We start from the raw sequence: 24,151 nt of genomic DNA on the forward strand, positions 1-24,151 counted from the left end.
ACATACCAACAAAATGTTGAAAGAAAAAAACATTAATTCATATTACAGATTTTATATTGTTGGTGATGTATTTTCATTTAAAATATTCCAAATAGAAGTTTTAAAAGCCTTCAAAAGTAGAAATATATGGAGTTTTGGCAGGTAGTAGATGTGAGTCACATACCACTTAAATTGGTATTTAAATTGTCCATATAAAATAGACATTAAGAAAACTAAATGCCTATATCCTAAAATAGGGGTAGAGAGGCAGAAGCAACTAATGTTTACATCCTTTAAACTGGAATCTTGGACTTTATATTGCAAAAGCAAATGACAAATGTCTAATAAAGTTCAAGGGCAAGTTACACAGATGGAAAATTAATAGCTTTATTTTTCTTTGTGTTAGGCATCATTTCCTAAACATTTGAAGCAAAGTGTATATTTAAGCCACATTTGGATTTATCATTGACATCTTTTAAAAGAAAAATAGGAATTAAAATGCAATTTGTGTATATTCTTATACTTCATACACTTTCCATCTATTTAGCATTAATGTTGTAGGAAGAGCTATTCTTTTAGAAAATGTCAAAAAGAACAAATTTCCTAAAATGTTCCTGTTGATGGTAAGTAGGCTGTTTTGCCTTATACTAATGTAATGGATTCTCTCAATAATAGGACTTTTTTTTCTAATTTTTCAAGATAATTTTAGTGACTCATAATCAGTAAACTAAAGGATAAGGAGCGACCTACCTCAATGAAAAATATTTCAGTACACATATAATACCAGCCAGCTATTTCTTGAGGGCAACTTTAAATCGAAGTCAAGTCACAAATGGATTGAGACTGGTGATCTCACTTCATCCTTTGGAAAACTATGTATATCACAAAATCAGTATACATTTTGACATAGTTGGCAGCCTTTCCTTGAAGTAGGCTCTGAATCAACTGAGCATGGAAACTCAATTTGCCTGGGGATATGCTAGCCTTTAAATAAAGAGGGCTGATAGTTTCTGCTAAAACAATGGAGAAATCTCCCAACATCTATAATTTTGTATACACTATAACTCTAACAGACAGTCTAGGTTTCAAGTCATCAACTGCCCGTAAAATCATTATATATACTTTTTAGAACAGAAGTATGGTAAATGTACTTTTAAGCTTACTTGACCACATATTTTTTTAGAGTACCAATTTCATTACATATTTTCTTTTATTTCTCCCACAAGATTATTTTTGCGTCATCTCCCCAGCAACTCTGGTCATATAGAATACCACCGGCTGATCACACAGCTCTGTGACAGCCATTGCAGATTGCTAATGGTAACCCTGCACTAGGGAATAGATGGCTTTGGATGTCTGATCTAGCCCAGGGGTGCAAAGGGCCTGCTCAGAGAGGGCATGATGAAGCTCCTGAGGAACAGGGAGACCCAAATTAGGAATAAGAAAATGTGGAAGCAATTATCCATGGGCACCCACTACCTTAAAATAATTGGAACCACTGTGCACATTGCTTAAAGCTACCTGATGCTTGCTGTCAACTTGTGTCTCCACTTCTGTGCTGGAACTGAGCAAAATAAAGGAGAAAAGGTCAAGCACCACGTAACTAAGCCAAACTTCAATGATAACATGCAACTGTTTGCAATTGTTTTACATGGGAGTATTTTATTATTTCATCATTTAAAATGACCTTGGATCAATGCACTCAGAAACTTGGGTAGGCAGAAAGAATTTATTTTTCAAGCTACCAAACATGATAAAAAATATAGTTTTTGTGGTTTTTTGTTGTTGTTGTTGTTGAGATGGAGTCTCACTCTGTCACCTAGGCTGGAGCGTAGTGTGCGATCTCGACTCACTGCAAGCTCTGCCTCCCGGGTTCAAGCCATTCTCCTGCCTCAGCCTCCCGAGTAGCTGGGACTACAGGCGCCCGCCACCACGTCCGGCTAATTTTTTGTGTTTTTAGTAGAGACGGGCTTTCACCGTGTTAGCCAAGATGGTCTCGATCTCCTGACCTCGTGATCCACCCACCTTGGCCTCCCAAGATAAAAAAATATAGTTTTAAATGTTTTTCAATATATCTAATAGTCAACATATAATGTTTCTGTAGGGGTTTCTATAAAATCTATTATTTTTGGATATTTCAACATGTTGGCTTATACAACTTTCACATAGTTTCTTCAAAAGAGTAAAGATATTGTTTGTTCCACCATAGGCCTACTGCTGCTAAGTTTTACTTTCCTTTTATAATGGCAAACTACTAATTTGTTTTAGAAAGATAAAATTTAAATTTTAAGCCCAAATCTTTATTCACTATAGGTGAAAATGTTACACTAAGACCCAAAACAGGTTAGAAAGAGAGAAAAAGGAGGCAAGGAAGAAAGGAAGTAGGCAGGAGCCAGTCTACATTGTGAGATTATCATTTTTATCATAACTGTGTTATCACTTAGAAAAAGACAGCTTAAAAGCAGATTAAACTCCAGTCAATGTGTATAGCTCTAGCTAACATAAATTAGACATAAGCAAGTCACCTAAAATTAAATACTCATACTATATTTTAAGTTATTCTAGTTGCCTCTCCCACTCTGATTTTAATGCATCCAAATCCTTTTTATCATATCAATGAAGTTTGAAAACGTCAGCCAGGATCCAAATTCCAGAATTTTATTAACAGCAAATAGTTGAGTAAAGTACTTGTAAGATGGGTAAGCAGATCGGATCTCTGTGCTTTTTCTCCTGTAACTCAGGGTCTGCCCTCTCTGTTGCATGCAATCAAGCACCATAGGTGCTAACCCATTGGTGGTAGCAGTTTTGGTATTGTTGTATCTGCAACTTGAAGTGGATACCATGCCAGGAAAGTTTGTTTCCCAGATGAGTGGATTAAGGAAAGGAATTTGGTTTGGATGAAACAGGTTGTTTTGGTGCCAAACAATATCCAGCTGTATGGCTTAAGAGCTCGTCGTATTATCTTACATGTGATAAAACAACCAGTATAAGTTACATGGCGTGATGATCACCTTTTTAAAAAGACACACAAATTAACTACTTTCTTTTTGCCTCCAAAGTAAAGCCTACAGTCACAGCCAAGTATGTAGAAGACACTCCAGTGATGCTTGAAGTAAGAGACACTTCATTCTTGCCAGGTTCTTAGCGTCTCAAAATTCAAATGCCAGTACTCAAATACCAATTTTGTTATCAACACGTAGACTAAAGGAAGTGAAATAAAATTAAATAAATGGTACGTAAAATTTCAAAAAACAAATCTACATCTATCTATTGAGTGATTAGTGAGTGGTTTTCTTTAATATTGAATTGCTACAGCCTCTCAAGCAAGAGCAGTTCTACCCTTTATTCCAGCCCTGGAGTTGTAATGCACCTCAATACTTTCCAGACAGAAAAGTTTATTTTATTGAATACTTTGACATAGATTGTGAGCTGGTTTCTTTGAATACATTTTAGAATCGATTTCTTCTGAAGATACAGCATATTACCACTGTAGCAAGAGAAATAATTAGATTTGGCCATACTGCTTCTACAAAAGCTGTCTCAAACAGATGGGGAGCCCGATCCGTCAGTGGCTATAAACAAATAAAATTCAAAATAATGCTATATGTCAGTAAGACAAGTAATTTATTAAAAGAAATCAATGACTAGTTGAATATAAAGAAGCTTCCAATTGCATATTTTTGTTTTCTACACTTCTCTTTCCCTTTTCCCTCATTCTTTCACTCTCTTTTTGTCTGTCATATAACTCTGCAGAGCTTGCATGCAGCAATATTTTCGGTTAAATTTCAAAGCTGGATTTGCCCAAAAGAACAAAGAAAGCTGTTTTTAAGCTTTGATCTCATCATGGAGTTTCCATTCTAGAAGGGATATAGATACTGCAGGCCAAATATGGCCCTGATTCCCTAAGAAAATATAGTAATTTGAATTCAGAGGGAATTGGAATTTTTGCGTGTATGAGGAACATGTTGGCCTCATAGCTTCAATCAACAAGTTCTGAACCTGAATGGCCCAAAGTAAGTCCTTCAATGAACTGTGTATATTAAATCCAAGTCTCCATCTTCAAAAGCCCCTAGCAGTGGATAGAACGCAAAGATGAAAGGCTTGGTGAGAAGAGATAATTAAAACTTAATGGGTGCTTGTTATATAAGTAGGTGCAATGAAAAATGATCATTTTAGGTATTCACATGGAATTCATAAAGAGTCCCGTGTGTTGTAAGTAATTAATTTGGGGTAGTTAACACTAGGAAGATGACCCCTAAAAGATATGGGTCAAGGCTAACTGCCCAACTCCCTCTTCTGTTATGGTTTATGGGATGTTTTATACTTGATGTAAGAAAAAGACTAAATCCAAGAAAGCTGGAGAAAAGCTCACCTCTCCTAAAATTTTCTATTGAATTGATTCAGACTAAAGCAATGACCTTCCGATTTTTTTTTTTTTTTTGAGGTCTCTCCCAAAAGTCCCCGGGGATTAAGGGGCATAAGATGTACCTTGAAAAAAAAATAGACTGATTAGGGCCTTTGACCAGATGGTTTCAGAAATTAGAAGTATCTCTTGCCTTAGGTGGTGACCACAGAGGCATTTGCTCCAATTGCACCTAGACACAGCCTCTCAGGAAATGGCCAATCCCCCAACAAAGTAAGATATGGACTTAGGGTGTCAAAAAGATGAGGGGTAATTTTACAAAGCTTTTAGAACTTCAATCTCCGGTAAGCTACTGTATCTGTCTAGTGGCAGCTACTTTTGTTTGTGTGTGTCAGATGACTCTAGCCTGAATGAGCTTTTTCATACACGTTCTGTTTGAAGAAAAGCCTTGCTGTGTTCCTTCTTTTGTCATTCCTGTGTCTGTGTAGTACAGTAGCATTGCTTTCTCCCAACCCTGCCATCCCTCCTCAATTCTGTTCTTCCTCTCTTCATCCCCCCAACACTCTAAGTTCCTTAATGTTGCTAGAAAAAAAAAAAATAGCCATTCTGATCTCAAATTGGGAATAGGCTGATCGGGCTATTTTCTTCTTCTCGTCTATATGACATTATTGGTATACTGCATGCACTGCTGAATATCATCAACATGGGACAAGTACCAGCAGGGATTCGGTTATAAAACACGTATTTGCCACCGGTGAGAGAGTAAACGTAGATACAGGGACAAACATTTACAAAACAAACATGAAACTTAAAATGGAAAGGGAAAGAGAATGCAGAATAAGATTTACACTGATCCACTGAGTTCCAGGAGTGTCTATTTGGAAAGCAAAACCCCTTTGACGAAAAAGTTCAATGTGGTATCAGTATTAGCCACGTTAGGGCATTTTCTTGACAATCTAAAGTGTCTACGCCAGTGAAACAGGAACAATGGTTCAGAGAAAGGCGACAGAACCTAAAACTTGAAAGTAAATTTCTGAAACTAAAAAATCCTAAATTTTCTGTTAGATGTGTAAAATATTTCCTGATACAAGTTTGCTGTTGTAAAGTTTAATTATAAAATTATGAAAATAAATTCATTTACATAGGTAAACAGGTCATAATTAGTGTGTGCTGTTGGAAGAGACAATTAACTTCCTCCTTATTTTAAAAAAATAATAATAACAAGAAGTCATATTCTCTGCATTTAATCTTTCGTCTTTCTGCTTCTCCCTATGAAAAGAAAGCCACAGGACTTCTTGAGGAGAGAGTATTTTGATAAAGACAACAAAAGCTCTGAATATTTTAACTTTTATCATGGACGTTTTCAAGCATATTCAAAAGTAGCATGTACATATTGCCGATCTGGGTTCATTTATTCCTTCCAGATTATTTATTATCTATTTACTGCTGCATCACTTTAAAGCACATTATTTCACCTACCAATACTTCCAAATAAAGCTCTCACAGATGAGGATGCTTATTTATGACCCTCCCATTTGTTTGCTTGTTTTAATAAGACCACCATGCCATTCTCCAACCTTACCCCCAATAAGTACTTAATGGCAGCCAACGTTCAGTCCATCTGGAAATTTCTCTGACTGTCTTAAGAATGTCATGTTACAATTAGTTTGTTTAAGTCAGGCTCCAAACAAGAGTCACACCTTGTATTTTTCTCCTGTGTCTCCTGTATTCTATATTAATCTCCATCCCCTTTTTAATGCCAGTTATCTGTTGATGAGATTCAGAATATTTTTAAAAGAGAAGGTGAGGCAAGAAATTCCACCTCTATAGAGTGGCTCTGTGTGTTCTCTCTCACATCCCATCACTTGGAGTGATGCTAAGATTGATCCATGGGTTCAGGTGTTGTCTGCCTGATCTATCCATTAGAAAGGTCCCTGTCCTTTCACCTTGAAGCTTTAGTATCTTTGGATGATTATTGCCTAGAGCCATTATTCCATTAGGGATGACAAAATAGTGACTTTTATAAGCTATCAGCTTTTATCAATTTCTTAAAATGCCTGCATATCAATTTGACTGTAGACCAGCAGCTGTGTCATTCTTTGCATAGATAACAACAAAGGCTGTGGTTATTTTTGACACCCGATGAAGCCACAGACCTCATGAAGTATCATGGCACACAAATCTCAGAAGGGGTGTGACTGGATGTTGTGGAGAGTGAGTTACACAGGGAGATTTATTCAGCAGATAGCAAAATGGGCTCTGTGTCATTCAGTTTGGGGTGGTGGGGATGAAAAAACAAATCTTGCCCCAGGCATGAGTCTGTCCTCTAGACATTTGGTAGGGAGCCATATGGTGGAGTATTTTTCTTTACTTAATATTATGAAGTCATTCTCCAAGCTCTCTGCAGATTTTCTCTATTAGATTATCTCAGAAGGCCACAGCTAATGTTGAGCCTATTTCTCACTTTATATAAAAGTCAAGCAGGCAGAAGGCTGAAAAATCCATTCAAGATTTCACTTGGTGTCTTCTGTCTTCCCCAAATAAAGCCAATCAAGGAGAATAAAATGCGAGCTGAAATCATCTTATCTCCCAGAAGCCCCAAGGGCAGATGTAAGGTTCTGGCAAAGAATTAGTAAAGGCTCCGAGAATGAAATAAATACTTGTTTCAGATGTAATTTGAAGACATTGTGGACTAACAGCAACCTAATCTCTGAGAGAATAAAAACAAGTCTGTCTTTTAAATGGGCAAGACCCTTCTCACAATAGCTAGTAAATTGACTCCCACTTCTACTGTGCCGCTAGACACAAAAGTGACAAAGCATTATCTTTACTTGGTGATGGGGGCTCTTCTTTGACCCACCTGGACCACCTATTAGTGTATAAGGAACACAGCTAGCGTTCTCTAGCCCTTCCAGAATGCCATATGAAGACAATCTCTCTCTTCCTCCTTCTTCTCTCCCTCCCCTTCGTTCCCTCACACCATATCTCTCTCTCTCTCTCGCTCTCTCTCTCTCTCTCTAGCATGCATGTGCCACACCAAATTTCTTTTCATGCAGTTATGTAAACAGCAGAGACTTTGCATGAAAGGGTTCCTTCCACTCCCTGCTTGTCTACTTCATCTTTTTCAGAAACTGCAAATTACAGACATGATTTGGATATGTGCAAAGACAATGCTTTTCCTCAACTTTGCAGCCTTATTTGAGATACATGGGGCGCAGGTTTTGAAGACAGGAGAATGAGGTCCAAATATGGGTCCAGCACAGCCACCCATGTGTCAGGTGATCCTACCCAGTTCTGTAACCCCCAGCTTACTCTGCTGCAAAATGGAGATATGACATTTATTTTTCAGGATTTTCACGGGGCTTTGCGTTTTGTGTGTAAAAGAGCACGTAGCAAGTAGAGGATATTCAATAAATGACTCAACAAGTGTTTGTTCCTCCTGTTAATTTTTTTTGGAAATGTCCAATTCCTATCACCGGTTTAAAAGCCATTAAGTTTCTTTATCTCATGAAGCAAGTGCAGTCTTTAAACAAAGTCCCCTGACTTTCCCATGCTGGCTTTCCTTGGGGCAGTGGGCATGTGCCTGCTTGATGTCACTGTCACTTTGCATTGCTGGCTCGGCCCTTGCTACGGGCTGATGATTTCTTCCCAGGAGGAGTAAGAGGGCCATTTTCAAATCTCTAACACATTTCCCCATGATATAGCACAAACTCAAACCCCTGAGATTTTTAGTGACTGTAGGATAGAGGCTCAGAGTCAAACAGAGTGAGGTATGGTTCTCCCAACTCAGAGCCACCGACGTGGCTGGCGTTGTTCAGTTCCACCCCCCAGGCTTACTTCTGGACCGAGGCCTGAAATATTTCACACAGTTTGGCTGCTCCATCGTCCTTCCAAGTGCCTTGCTTGAGATCACAGGGCTTTTCCTTTGTTGTGAGGCTCAAACTCATCCTCTCTATGGCCAGGGAGTGTGCATCGCCCTCACTGATCTCTTCACAGGAACTTCAGTTCTGCTCCCAAATTCTAGTCCATTGGTTTGAGTCTTGCTGAACGCTGACAGACTTTCTGGAGGTCCTGGTATTCCGAGCACCAGAAGCCCAGATTGGGTCCCCACAACTCAATGCATGATGATGGATGGAAGATATTCAGCCACTTCACTTGCCTGAGATATGTGTTTACCAGGTGTGAGACCTCCTGTTATGCTTCAGGAGACCTCTCCTGAACTAAAGTTTCCTTCAGTGACCCAAATCTGCACCTTCCTTCTTGGCTTGTGAATTACATGCTTGGTCCTCCCCAGTAGGTCGTGTCCAGCCATACCTGGAGGAAACTTAAGGCAGGACATGTAAGTTCAGAACTGGCATTCGGGCCGCGGTTGTCACTGGCTCTCGCCAGGTGAGGGTCATCTGCCACTGAGACATGGAGGGGACCTCGGGGTTAGGAAGCTCTTAATCCACAACTGCTCTGCCAGTGGCAAGAAACAAAGAAAGAATCTAGCTCTTTCTGTTCTTCTTTGGTTTGCTTCCAGCGTTTTCCTCTTGACTCATAAAACAAAAAGCTCACTGATGAAAAGCATCTAGAATGCTAACCGCAGAGAATACAGAAAATGTTTTAAATGAAAAGAAAAATGACTAAGAATCATGTTACCTATAGTTCATCATTATTACTACTTTGGAATTTGTCTCAATTCAATGGGTATAAATAAAGTCTCAGTTATACAAGATGATTAAGTTCTAGAGATCTTTCGTACAACATTGTGGCTATAGTTAACAATAGTGTATTGTATGCAAAAAAATTCTGTTCACAGGGTAGATCTTATATTAACTTCCTACCATAAATTTTTTTAAAAATTGGAGGAATCATTACATACACACATATATAAATATGTGCCTGTGATATGCATGACATATGACATCTTTGTGTACCACACATACTGTGAGCATTAACTAGAATACCTCTCTTGTCTCTCTCTCTCTCTCTCTCTCTCTCTCTCTATATACATATATATGTGTGTGTGTGTATGCCTCTGTGTGTGTATGTAATAATTTCCCCCATACACAAACACACACACACATAATTTCCTTTTTAAAAGTTAGCATTAGCTTGTTAATTTTTAAGCTTCAAAACAAGTGATGAAAATTTACAGGATCCAGAAAATCCAATTAGGCGTATTGTTCCACTGCCAAACACGTTACAAATGTTGACTAACACTGGTGTTCATTGATAATCACTTGGAAGCTTGCCCTTGATTATTTAAAATTACTAAAGTCATTCATGTTTTATAACAACTCTGAAAAACACTTTGAACCTTTAAAGATGTTACAGTTAGCCAGCTGGAAAATTCTGATTTAACCTCTTTTTCTATGTTGCGACATCAGTCAGTGATTTAATGTGTCTGAGTTTCTGGGCCTTCATCTTTCAAATGGGAATATTGATATATATTGAGCATAAAATGTGGTAGAATATGTTTCCTCAGTCTTTCTCAACATTTTTGCCACCGCAATATGCATGACATATGACATTTTCAGGTACAACGCATACTGTGAGCATTAACGGGAATACCTGTCTTGTCTCTCTCACAAAAGTAAATGTGTTAGAATGTAAACAAATGCAAATGAGTTCAGGATACCTAAATATACAGAAATAACATTTTCTCAGTTACATCCATCAGTGTTTGACAGCAAAGAGTTTGAGATCCATCGTGTTAACGTACATAATAAATTGGTAAGCACCAAACTGAATAAGGTGCTATTATTTCAGTAATTACATTAAAGTAGAAGGTCTATTTCTCATTTTGCAGAAATCTCACCCAGGTGCGTAAACATTTTGCAAGTTTGGATACCACCTGACAAGAAACAATTAAGAAACGCAGTATTTAATTCGTTAACGTGTTAACTGATTTAAATTAAAGATAAATTAAGCTGTGTTCTTCATTTATTAGCAAGATTCAAGTAAGCAAGGCTTTGAGAAATAGAGTTGAGTTTCTTTATGACTGATTTTAATTATGAAATAACTTGCAAAGACAGCTCCCCATTTGTTCTATTTAGAATAATTTCAGAAAGCCAATCTCTGAACTATAGTTGATAGCTTTCAGAAAACAACTTCATCTCAAATATTTGTTTATTGTAAAAGCTAAATAGTATTCATCTAGACATAATTCTAACTTTTATTGATTCATAAAACTAAATTACCAGTAGTCATTTAAATAATAATGAGGGTTAAAAATATGTAAATAAGTAATTGCTATACGTGAAATTTCCAAATATTTGCAAAACGGAGTTATCATTAATGAGAATTCGCTGTCAGGATCTACAGCAAATTAGGTCACTATTATTAAAAGGCTACAGAGCAGTAAAATTAAGCTTTCAAAACTACCTAAAATTATCATTGCCGACCTTAGGATTTTCTGACAGAAACTTTATCCCAACTATCAAGATAAAAGAAAAAAAATACTCTTTTGTCTATCGTCTTGAAACTTTCACTTCCTGTGGTTCAGTCTGAAAGATAATGCATCTGCTTAACATCAAGCAGTTTTTAGAACTCTCCTTGAGAATTTTTCCACCATCAGTGATTCATAACCACCTCCTTTATGTGATCGTATGATATATCTTTTAAAGTCTACATTTTAAAGTTATTTCAGGGGCCCACTTAATCAGGGTTCCAGAGGCCATGTGGACTCTCCTTCATCTCCTCCCCACTTGGATTTTTGTCTCAGCATTCCTCAGCTTCTCTGCTGCTGGCGGCTCAAACAATGGTATGACAGCAAGCCTTGGACCAAAAGAATAATTCTGGGTTTGTTTCATACCATGTATCTGGGGAATTCAAAATAAATAAAAATAAATGATATTTTTGTGAGCTGCAAATACATGTCCTACAATAAGTGCCATGCAACTAGGAAAGATTTTTATTAAGCTTTTTTTCATGCTACAGTTCCAATATTGGCTGGTTTATTTTTCATTTTCCTCAGAGAAGGGGTCTCACTCTATTGTCCAGGCTGGAGTGCAGTGGTGCGATCACTGCTCACTGCAGCCTCGAACTCCTGGGCTCAAGTGATCCTCCCGCCTCGAGCTCCCAAAGCGCTGGGATTATAGGCCTAAGCCACTGAGCCCAGTCCAATTATTGGTAATTTTTAGTGATATTCAGGAAATATATAAGACCGTCACAAAATGAGCATTTATTATCCAACACAACAGATAATGTTTTTAAATCAGGAATGGGATTGGAAAGAACAGAATAAGCTCCAGGCAAGCAGGAATTAGGTCTGTTCTGTTTGCCCCTTCATACTCTGTACCTAGCATGGTGCTTGGCATGTAGTAGGCTCTCAAAAATATTTGTTAAAGAAAGAAACAGACAAAAAATGGAGGGAGGAAGAGGAGAGAGTGAGAAAAAGCAGGGAAAACAAAACATGATCCACATCCAAAATCATGGTGCAGCCAAATCTAGAAAAATTCATGGCAGAGTAATGCTTAAGAGACTTTGGACATACTAACTTAATATAGTTCTACCCTCTTATTCGTCATAAAACAGAAAGTCCAGGGATGGGGAAGTTGTTGGGTATTTGGTTTTGGTTTTGGTTTTGTTTTTGGAGACAGCGTCTCACCCTGTCTCCCAGGTTGGAGTGCAGTGGCATGATCATAGCTCACTGTAACCTCAAATTCCTGAGCTCAAGCAATCCTCCCACCTCAGCCTCTCTAGTACGTAGGACCACAGGCATGCACCACCATGCCCTGTTAATTTTTAAAAAATGTTTGTAGAGATGGATCTTTGCTGTGTTGTCCAGGCTGGTCTCAAAGTCCTGGACTCAAGCGATCCTCCTGCCTCGGCATCCCAAAAGCACTGGAATTACAGTCATGCACCACTGCACCTGGCCAGGGATGGGAAAGTTGACATAGCCACTGAGAAGCATGTCAGTCTGAGCTAATTGAATTAATTTGACCATAATAATATCGGCAACGTCTCTCCTACCATATTGGTATATGACTTATGGTTCCATTCAGGAAGATTACTTAGCAAACTGCATCAGTTTTTTTTTTTTCTCTTCATGCTACAGAGGAAATTGAGATAAAAGGTATGGGAAACTACTTTCCAGAGACTTAGTTGAGAGAGAAAATAGCTTAACATCTCTCTGTAATAAAGAACGGGCCAGATGTGGTGACTCACATCTGCAATCCCAGCAATTTGGGAGGATCAGGCAGGCAGATGGCTTGAGCCCAGGAGTTGGAGACAAGCCTGGGCAGCAAGATAAAGCCCCGTCTCTACAAATATAAAAATTAGCCAGGCATGGTGGTGCATGCCTGTAGTCCCAGCTACTTGGGATGCTCAGGTGGGAGGATTACTCGAGCCAGAGAGGTCAAGGCTGCAGTGCAGTCAAGGCAAGTCAAGGTCAGATCATGCCACTGCACTCCAACCCGGATGACAGAGTGAGACCTCCTTGTCCAAAAAAAAAAAAAAAAAAAATTCAAACTCATTCCTCCATTATTAGAAGCAAGATAACTTATTAAAATGCTAACCTTGAAATATGAGTTTGTGTTCCCCAGAAAGATCCTAAAGAAGATGGCTAGATGACACTTTAGGGAGGCTGAACTCTTAGCAATGAACTCCAGTCTCCCTAAAAATTCTCCAAGTCACAGAGACCAGAGACATGTGGAGACAACATGACCTGGGCAGTATCTTTGACTGGTGCCCAGTGATTGCAGGGAACTCCTCAGCACCTGAATCCATTGTAAGTCACACAATCTTGACCGAGATTGAATTTCCAGATCCCAGGGACAACATGTGTTGGATTCAGGATTAAGTTGATCTACAGAAAATAAGGAAATGCAGTATTCTAAGCTCACTTGAGTCTGTGGATTGGGATTCCTATTCATTACACATTGTTATACACATTAATTGATCACTTGCTCTTTACAAGACAAAAAACTTGGTTTTGCCAAAAAAAAAATCCCTGACTGCAGTGGAGGTGTTAAGCAGACCTTGAGGTATGAATCTAGTCCATTAATAGGCCAAGTGGAGCGGCACTTTATTGACAAAACTGGAATCAAAAGCTATAAATGGACCATAAGAATGACAGCCAGGGCTTTTATATGTTATAATATTGACAGGAATGGTGCAACATCAAAATTAAAAACCTGACATCATTGAAAGAATAATAATTTATTTTTAGATCCTTCCTCTTATAACATATGCAGTAAAATTCTAAATGTGTGCAAACAACTGGAAGGCATCAATTTTTAAATGTTTTAAATTTGCCATCGCTGGTCTAGGTGCTTGGGTGGCATCAGTGAACAAAGGATGAAGATTCTACCTCTGGTATCTAGGGTGGATAGAAAACAAACAGTAAGCATGACAACTAAGTAAATTATAACAAGTTAGAAACTGACAAGCAGAAAAAAAGGACCCTGAGCAAAAGAACCAGAGCAGAGAAAACGGAGACGGAATGCTGTTTTAAATGGCTGGGCCTCAGGCCTGCAATCCCAGCTTTGGGAGATTGAAGCAGGAGGATCGCTTGAGGCTGGGAGTTTGAGACTAGCCTGGGAAACATAGTAGTTTGAGACTAGCCTGGGAAACATAGTGAGGCCCTGTCTCTACAAGAAAAAAAATAAATAAGACTATTTAGCTGGGCACAGTAATGCATGCCTGTAATCCAAGCTACTCAGGAAGCTGAGGCAAGAGGATTGCTTGAGCCCAGGAGTTGAAAGCTGAACTGAGCCATGACTGTGCCACTGCACTCCAGCCTGGGTGACAGAGCCAGGCCCTAGAGCTAAAAATAAATATGAATAAAATAAGTAGAATACAGTCAATGGAGCTCAGGGTAGGTCTCACTAGGAAGATGATGTTTAAGCAAAGGCTTGAAGGAGAAGTAGAGTTATCCCAGGAGATAACTGGAGAAGAAGCATTTGGAGAAAACAGCAACAACATAGAGGGCAATGCCCATGTCAAATAAAGGGGACACCGGCAGGGGTAGGCTGGGAGAGCCTGCAAACCATAATGCCGGCCTACTCCCTGTGAAAGGAGAGAGGGAAGGAAGGAAGCTTGGTCAGCAAGAGCCTCAGACTGTACTGCAGCTCTGAGATGGCCTCAGACAGACCAGTGGGGAGCCACTCAGTAGAGACTGCTCATTCAAGGAGTCCTGCATGCGGAAGAAATGGCTTGTCTCAGTCATTGGCTGGGTAGGAGCATAATCTTGGCATGGGTAGCACACAGCTGGGAGCTATGAGCTGTGTTCTCATGATAGCCGTAAGGCAAGAGTGCCTGGTATGGTCAAATAGCAAAAATGAATCAATGCCGGCCAGGTGCAGTGGCTGACACCTGTAATCCCAGCACTTTGGGATGCCAAGGCGGGTGGATCATTTGAGGTCAGGAGTCCGAGACTAGCCTGACCAACATGGTGAAACCCCATCTCTACTAAAAATACAAAAATTAGTCAGGCATGCTGGTGCATGCCTGTAATCCCAGCTACTCAGGAGGCTGAGGCAGGAGAATCGCTTGAACCCAGGAGGAGGAGGTTGCAGTGAGCCGAGATTGCGCTACTGCACTCCAGCCTGGGCAACAGAGCGAGACTCCATCTCAAACAAACAAACAAAAAAAGAATCAATGTGGCACAAGCTGAATGAGCAAGAGGGAAGCAGCAACGTGGTCAGTGGAATAACGGGTTCAAAGTCAGACCATCGAGGCTCCTTGGCTATGTAAAGGCTTTGGCTTTTCACTCTAAGTGGAATACATTTACTACCAGTGACAAACACTGAGCAGAACTGATATGATCTTACTTCTTCCCCCACCCTCTTTCTTTAAAATTATAGATTCAGGAGGTAGATGTGCTTGTTTGTTCCATGGGTATTACATATGTAATGGTGGAGAGTGTAATTGGCTTCAAGTGTACCCATCACCCAAATATTGAACATTGTAACCGATAGGTAATTTTTCAAACCTCACTCCCTTCCCATCCTCCCTGCTTTTGGAGTTCCCGGTGTCTATTAGTTCCATCTTTATGTCCTGTTGAGTTCCCACTTATGTGTAAGAACATGTGATATTTGATCTTCTGCTGATGAGTTAGTTCACTTAAGATTATGGCCTCCAGTTCTATCCATGTTGCCGCAAAGGACATGATTCATTCGCTTTATGGTTGTGGAGTAGCTCTTTTTTTTTTTTTTTTTTTTGAAACAGGGTCTCACTCTGTTGCCCAGGCTGGAGTGCAGTGGCACAATCTTAGCTCACTACAACCTCCACCTCCCAGGTTCAAGCTATTCTCGTGCCTCAGCCTCCCGAGTAGCTGCGATTACAGGCAAGCACCACCAAGCCTGGCTAATTTTTGTATTTTCAGTAGAGACAGGGTTTCGCCATGTTGGCCAAGCTGTTCTCCAACTCCTGACCTCAGGTGATCTGCCCTCCTCAGCCCCCTAAAGTACTGGGATTACATACATGAGCCACCATGCCCGGCCGATTGCTTAGTATTTCACTGTGTCTATGTGCCACATTTTGTTTATCCAGTTAACTGTTGGTGGACACTTAGGTTGGTTCCATGACTTTGCTGTTTTGAATAGTGCTGCGATAAACATCTGAGTGCAGTTACTACTGTTTTAAGAGCACCACTCTGGCTACCATGTTGGAAGTAGGTTGTGAGGAGACCAAGGTACAAGCAGGGGGACTGGTTAGGCAGCTACTGCAGGGAGCCAGGTGAGAGATGGAGGGACTCAGGCACAGTGCGCAGTGGTAGCAGAGGAGGGGGTGAGCAGACACTTGTGGATAAATATGGAAGCCGGAACCAACAAGAAAGGCTAAAAGACTGCATATGGAATGTAAGACAGAAATGGAGGATACATGTGTTTCCTTGGTCTGCCATAACAAAGTACCACAAACTGGGTGGCCTACATGATAGAAAATTATTGTCTGACAGTTCTAGTGGCTACAAGTCGAAAATCAAGGTGTCAGCAAGGTTGGTTTCTTCTGACGGCTACTCTCCTTGCTTCTAGTAGGCTCAGGCATTCCTTTGCTTGTAGCCGGCATTCTCCCTGTGTGTTCACAATGTCTTCTCTCTCTGTTTGCCTGTCTGTGTGTAGAATTCCCTTTTTATAAGGACATCAGTCATATTGGGATTAGGCCTACCCTAATGACCTCATTTTAATATGACCATTGTTTTTTGAGACAGGGTCTCACTCTGTTGCCCAGGCTGAAGCACAGTGGCACAATCTTGGCTCACTGCAAACTCCACCTCCCAGGTTCAAGCCATTCTTGTGCCTCAGCCTCCCGAGTAGCTGTGATTACAGGCAAGCACCACCATGCCCGGCTAGTTTTTGTATTTTTAGTAGAGGTGGGGTTTTGCCACGTTGGCCAAGCTAGTCTCCAACTCCTGACGTCAGGTGATCTGCCTCCTCAGCCTCCCAAAGTGCTGGGGTTATGGGCATGGGCCGCCATGCCCAGCCGGTTGCTTAGTATTTCATTGTGTCTCTGTACCACATTTTGTGAATATGAGACCCGATCTCACATTCACAGGTACTAGGGGGTAGGACTTCAGCATCTTCTTGCAGGATGCAATCCTACCTGTAACAGAGAATGTATTAAAGAATTTTGCACTGAACAACTGAAAGGATGGAGTTGCTGTCAACTGAGATGTGGAAGGCTGTGAGTGTTCACAGGTTTGGATATAGTCCATTTGAGATATTTATTAGAAACCAAGTGGGAATGTCAAGTAGGCAATTATACAGACACAAATTAATGTTCAGGAGACAGATCAGATCTGAGCTAAAGATATGAATTTGGGAGTTGTCCGGATAGAAATGAATAGTATTTAAATTCACGACCTGGAGAAGATGGAGCTACAAACCAAGCCCTTTGATACTCCAGAGTTAAATCAGGGGAGAAAAGAAGGAACCGACAAATGTGATTCAGAGTGACGGAAAGAATAAGAGAAAACTCAAGGGAGATATAATTTGCCACTATTGAGAGCTGAGTAGAGAACAGGCCCTGTGCTATGTGACATACACATCATCTCTAATTCCAGCAACACTGCAAAGAGAATGCACCCCTCCTTTGCTTAGTTGAGCCAGCTCGAGCTAAGAGACAGCGTGGCGTTGTACTTAGCAGCATGAGCTGGACCGCCCAGCTTCAAATCCCCATTTTGCCTCCTCCCTAGCTCTGAAATATCATGCAAAGTACTTTGCCTCTCTGTGTTTTGGTTTCCTCAACTGTGAAATACAATAGTACCTACCCCCATAGGATCGTTAAAAGGATTAGATGAATTAAAACTCTTCTTAAAAAGAACCACCGTTAAAGTTTCTTGAACAGAACACAGCGCACAGCAAACGCTACATTATTGCCTGTTACATAAGTAAATGTATGTAAATTAAGTAAGTTAAAAGTCTCACAGCTCCTAAGAAGCAGAAATAGGATTTGAACCTAGGATTTTCTGCATTTGAAGCCCATCCTGTTTCTAGTGTATCACGGTGAATGTGACTCTTTCCTTAGCATTAGCATAGATTAATTAATCTAATTAGGGGAATGGATCATTTGGAAAAATGAAGAGACAGTTCTGGAAGGCTGCATTAAGGATGTTTTACTAAATAAGAAATGAAGTTTTGAGAGGACAAGTTGTCATATAAATGTGAAAGCAATAAAAGAGAGAGAGAACCACAAGAGAGGCCTAGACCCCTGGGTCTAAGATAGGGGAAGACTCACCTTTTGAGGGCCTCTTCTTCACAAAATCAGGGCACCTGGGGTGGGTATTTTAGGGGGAACTAAGAAGATAAAGGACTTTGCTTCCCTCTTGTCTTACCTGGGACCAATCTTTTTCCTGTGGATGCTCACCATCAGGGGTGAGGTGACCATGAAGATCTGTTTAAAGTCTGTGCTGAAAGAAGTAATCAGAGAGAATCAGAATAGGATAACGTTCACAAGCTCTTGGTTGAAGAGGACTGAAAGTAAGAACAATCAGTATCAAAGACGATAGCAAAGTCAAGGAGAGTGACTGAGAGAGAGGCCTTTCATGTTGATTATGAAGAGGCCAAGTCATTCCAAGTAAAGTTGCAGTAAAGCAAAGAGAATAAAATAGTTTTAACAGATCTGCAAGCCAGGGTGACAGAAGATGAAGTCTGGAAGAATAATCATGGAAAGTGGAAGTGGCCAGAATGAATCATTTTAAAGTAGCTGAAAGAGAAATTAAACCAATGAAAACAGAATCGTAACTCTTGGGGCTGGAAGGGTCCTGTGGCATGAGCTACTGGAATTGTTCTCTACATGGTGGGAACCGAGGCACAGAGAAACCCAACAACTTGCCCACATTCTCACATCTGGTTACTGGCAGAACCAGGATGAGAAGGGCTCAGCCATAAGTGAAGCATCGATTTTGACAGGTTTTCTTAAAGAGCAAAAGGGGGCTGGGCGTGGTGGCTCATGCCTATAATCCCAGCACTTTGGGAGGCCAAGGCAGGTGGGTCATGAGGTCAGGAGTTCGAGACCAGCCTGACCAACATGGTGAAACACCATCTCTACTAAAAATACAAAAATTAGCGAGGCATGGTGGTGCGCGCCTGTAATCCCAGCTACTCAGGAGGCTAAGGCAGGAGAATCGGTTGAACCTGGGAGGTGGAGGTTGCAGTAAGCCGAGATGGTGCCACGGCACTCCAGCCTGGCGACAGAGAAAGAGTCCATCTCAAAAAAAAAAAAAAGAAAAGAAAAGAAAAAAAAAAACCAGAGCAAAAGAGAATTTACTGACTGATTTTTCTGTTCAGGAGGAAAGAAAGAATATAAAGCCTATATGGGAAGTTCAGGTGGGAATTGAGCAACAAAAGGCCATCTCACTATCTGAAACTTAGGAACGTATGAAATAAAGGGCCAGAAATAGGCAAGGGAAGTATGAATTGTGGTCTCTTGTTCTGCTTAAAAGAATATAAGAAGACCTTTGAGGAGAGCCACAATGGGTAATGGGTTACAAAATTTAATCTTTGAGATTAGGGACACTTTGAAGTTTATGGATTGCTTAAGTGAAAAAAAAAAAAAGATAGTTATCTGTAAAAGGAGAAATATTCCAAATATTTGTTTTTCCTAAACTTAACTATTCTACATTTTTGTTGAAGAAGCAAAATATATGCTACATTAAGCCTGACATATATATATATATATATATATATATATATATATATATATATATATATATATATATATGACATCTTTGGTTGACTACCATGGTATGGACTAGGGAATTCAGCTTGAAATTTATGGCACTTATATAGAGTTTTTTTTCTTCGTATTTCTTATGTTTGTATTGCAGTAATGAAGAAATATGGAAGCTGTCTGGTGGCCAAATAGTATCTGTAAATTCCCATGGATAAAGCCTCCCGTTTATATTTCAAAGTTATTAAGTTCAAGTCCTGTTATAGCTCTACTTTTATTGGTTTTTCCCCCATCAAGGCAATTATTGATTGATTAATTCTTATTGGCTTTCTAAAGTAGAAAAAAATTATGGCTGAAATAAAATACTTCATACAGAGCAAAAAGTAAGGTATATATAAAGTGAAAGTCTGAGCGGAGAGGTGAAACCTTGATTCCAGCTACCCAGGTCTCTTGTGCACGGGTGCTCTGCCACAGGGAGAACACTTGGCTTGGTGTGGGTTCAGGAGGGACCAGAGTTGCTTGTGTGGGGACCAGTGTTGTTTGTCAGGCTTTTGGCCATATGATGATGCTCAGCCCCTTGTCCAATGTAGTGTGCAAACACCGTCACAACCTCATCTCACTCAGCCCTATAATCTGTGGAAACTGAGGCTCAGAGAAGTCGAGTGACTTGCTCAACGTCATACAGCTAGACATGACAACCCCAGATTCAAACTGAGGTGGTTTTCTTTCTTTCTCTACCTTTATGTTTTTAAGTTTGTTTGTTTGTTCGTTTTAGTTTTTGTTTTATTTCTGACCCAGGCCAAGTGGTAGGTGTAGCCAAGGCTCCGTGAGGATGGAAGGTCCACTAGTTATAACCTGTGAGTCACACTGGATCTCAACTGGGCCTAGAAGCCCAGGCAGGTTGAAAGCCTCTTTTGGAAGAAGTTGCCTTGACTACAAACGGAAACTGAACCCACTTTGCCTGCAGGCCCCAGATCTGTCTTACCAGCTTCACCTCAAAAGCAGTAACTTATTTGGCTTGAAGGACCAGTTCTGACCTTTTCAAACAGTGGAGGAGGGGAATGCCAGTTCCCTAATGTCAGAGGCAATATTTTTATTCCACAGTGTGGGTAAGGTGATCTCTCAGACAGACAGTCTCCTCTGGGGTTCGCAAGCCTTCTGAGTGCAAAGGTTATCTTCCTGGTAACTCATCTCTCCCACATTGTAGACTTCCTCCTCCAGGGTCCCATATCACCGGGGAAGTTGTGGTCTGGAAGGGGAGTCCAGGCAAGGGCTGGAACAAAATTACAAATATAAAATAAATTTCATAGCCAAACATGCTTCATTAAAATGTCTAAATTGAACTATATAAATCTGCTTTTGGGGGAAGGTCAAAAATGGCTGAATTACAGCAATTCCATATATTCAACCTAATACATGTACCACAATCACAATCAGAATGCTTATTGAAGGGTGATATTGGACCAATCAACTTACTCACATTGCCTTGTAATCTTCTTTTCTATTTTTAGTCTCACCCTGTAAGTTTTCTTAAGTTTTGTAATCTTAAAACTCACAGCTCTTTTTCCATGTATCTAATTTCTAATTTTCAAATGTAAAATATCAATTAGTCATTTAACAATAACTAGAATACAAATGAAAATGATTACATCGAATTAGATCTGGTAATTCCTTTACTGTTATTTAAGACAACATTTGGTTTTGCTTCTCATCTTTTGCAAAATTCTGAAACTTACGCCTATTTTTTCTTTTTTTTTATGTTTAAAAATTGGTTTACTGTAATGAATTAAATGTCCTGAAGAGAAATCTAATGGACTAAGCATTAGATGATATTTCAAGAAACACAGAACCACAAGGTAAAAATGGATGGAAATGGTATATATTTTACTGTGTTAATATGTCTAGTCATGGGCAAGAGGCGGTCCAGGACTCCAACACCCCCATGCGTGCCACATTAATTGTCACCTTTATTCCTCTCCTCCTCCTGTGGTTCCCAACACTTTTAATGTTCTCTTCCCTCTCCTCTGCCTGTCCAATTCTTACCCATCGAGTCCCAAATCTTTTCATGAACTATTCTTTTATTTCTACAGCTGACGGGCTGTCTCGTCTTCCTCAAAGTCTCTACCTACAATTTACTCCCAATTTCTTCATTAGGTTAACTAACGAATTTTTGCATGTTAATGGTTCCAATCTAATCCATGCATATTTTGACTCTCTTACGGGCTTTGGGGCTCCTCAAGTCCTGTTAGGTTCAGAGGAGGGACTTGAAGACTTATAGAATGAATAACTATTTTTTAAATGTAACAGGTATACTAGCTGTACTTTAAAAATGTATATAAGACAAATCACCATAAATATTCAAATCTATTGAAACTAAAACAGAGGTATTAAAAACAAGAGATTATAAGTAGATTACATTAATATTATATGAGGTTTTCTAAATTCTACATAGAGAAACAAGTTTTCATCAAAACAGAGAGAAAGAGAAAGTATTACATCACTTTCATTTAGTCAGGTAGAAGCTGGAAGGGGTTGGACTTTGGTGGGATTTGGGGAAAACTGATAAGCAAAATAAGAATTTATCATCTAGGCATGAAAAAGGAGTAGATAAAGATAGTCCCAAGTGACAATGAATACGAAAAGTGGAAAAAGTCACAAGAGACTATAACAAGGATAGGCTTTAGGAGGAAAGTAAAGGTTTAGTATTATTATAATGACGGTTACTACTCCAGGCTTCTGACAAGACAATCTGTGGCCAGAGAAGATAAGATGTGATGAGTTGATCCACAAGTTGGCCCCGTCATTAGGTAGTGAAGTGGTGATCAGACTCCTATTTAAGATAACCCATAGCCTGGAATCAAATTTGAGGTGGTATACGTGGGAAGTGAATGTTTGCCTGGGGAGTGAATCACACCACACAAGACCTTGAACCTGAGAGAGATCAATAAATCCCTGTGGTATAGAGACCAGGAGGGAGCAAAGCTGGGGTCCATAATAAATATCAGTGGGAGTAGAAGAGAAAACAATGTGAAAGAAAGACGACGGCTATCAGAGAAGTAATAGCAAAAGCAGTAAGAGATGATTTCAGAGGAAGGAATTTCAGCGGCGCGATTAAGCAGAATGAAATCAACTGAGCCAAAATGACAAAAAGACCACGTTGAACAAGAACAGCTACCATGATGTTTTGCAGAGAAAGGGGTCAGTGAAAACCTTTCCAAAAAATAAAACTTGTCTTCAATAGGAAAAAAGAAAACAATTCAGAGCCTTAGTATGTATGCCTTTGGGAGGCGGATGTACAGTATTGAAAATGAAGGTAACTTTATTTTAAAGAATTTTAAAGAATACCTCCTTTCACAAAGAATGATTAGACACAAGCTACTTCCATTCAGTCAGATGCTCTCCCTGAGAGTAACTTAGGCACTTCTGGAGCTACATTAATCTTTTTCAGTCCCTGGAGCACCATTAAGTACAGGCAGCAGTAATTTACTAAATTGCATACTCGAAGCCTGAAAGAGTTAATGCGGCTCCAAAAGTGCCTAACATTTACCCAGGGAGTAATTTACACACTGGAAGCATCTGGCTGAATATGGATTCAATTGTTTACTGTACTGTGGGTTTCACAGAAAGGAGGTCACATGCTTTCTCTTATTGAAAAGTTCTGGGGAACAATTTCTTTCATTTAAAAAATATGCACCAACTGCCACACTTTCATCCAGTATTCTGTTTTTATAATGCTCAAAAGAAAAGTTGTTACCAGAAATAAACTTAGAGTCTTTGATTTACCAAAGAAAACTATTTTATTTTACTTTTGGCTTTGTTACCTGAAGGTTGGGGGTCGATAGGGTTGAGGTGATACCAAGAAACTAGCAGATTTGTTAACAGTCTTTATTTCCTCCCTGGAAGAAGCCATTCCGTAGATTTGTACAAATGTTTGTATTTTACCTCTCTGCGTGCCAGAATACTTGAATGCAATACTGTTTAATAAAGAAAAGAAGAATAGGAAGACATTCACAAGTGAATCAATTCCAAGTTATTCTTAGCCAGAATGCAGCAGTACGTGTGTTCAGGACCGCTCAAGTGTCAACAGAAGCACCTGCGTAGGTATTAATTTCTTTAAAATTCCTTCTGCATGTTACATGCCCAGCACCACAGACAGTATATTAGAGAGAAGGAGCTCTCACGTGAAAAATCTTGTGACCTAAGGGAAGGGATACCAGCAAACAAGCGAGAACACATAGAATTCCAGACTTTGTGGATACACTTTCTAGATAGCTTTAAACTGCCAAGATAATGACACCCTTTCTCAGGATGACTGAAATACAAGGCTTAGTATATAATTGCTTACACCTCTCAAGTGGTTATATTCACAATCAACATCTTCTGTCTCAGCAACAGAAACATGTGATCATGTTTGTTAATATTTTATTCATTTGCTTAGAAAACCTAGGCTTGCTAAGTCTTACAGTTTCTTAGTAATTTAGGTCAAAGTTCATTTTACTTTTTCAAAAGGTTTATTAAGTATAATTACCAATACAAGCAGAAATGATTTTTAAATGATTTTCTGTTATGCATCAACCATATTTCCGATGCAATCTACTTCCATTTATTAGAATATATGCACTGGGACCGATTTTTTTTCAGACAAAATAATGTTTATTCTTTACATCTACTTGGGAAAAAAGCCATACAGAAAAGTAGAACACAGATGAA

At 39.6% G+C, this 24,151-nt stretch overlaps 1 protein-coding gene across 7 annotated transcripts in view, besides 1 other annotated feature; it reads left to right on the forward strand.

Annotated features, from left to right (window-relative positions):
- Positions 1–24,151, forward strand: part of TENM3 (teneurin transmembrane protein 3) — a 1,355,412-nt gene that overhangs the window by 512,051 nt on the left and 819,210 nt on the right. The gene's annotated exons all lie outside the window — the stretch shown is intronic.
- Positions 11,805–11,994: an enhancer, noted in NCBI's record as "active region_22174". NCBI's record gives its function as "activates an Ori minimal core promoter by ATAC-STARR-seq in GM12878 lymphoblastoid cells {active_cell/tissue: GM12878}" and the evidence as "EXISTENCE:reporter gene assay evidence [ECO:0000049][PMID:35858748]".

This window comes from Homo sapiens, chromosome 4 (assembly GCF_000001405.40).
Source record: "Homo sapiens chromosome 4, GRCh38.p14 Primary Assembly".
Taxonomy (NCBI): Eukaryota; Metazoa; Chordata; class Mammalia; order Primates; family Hominidae; genus Homo; species Homo sapiens.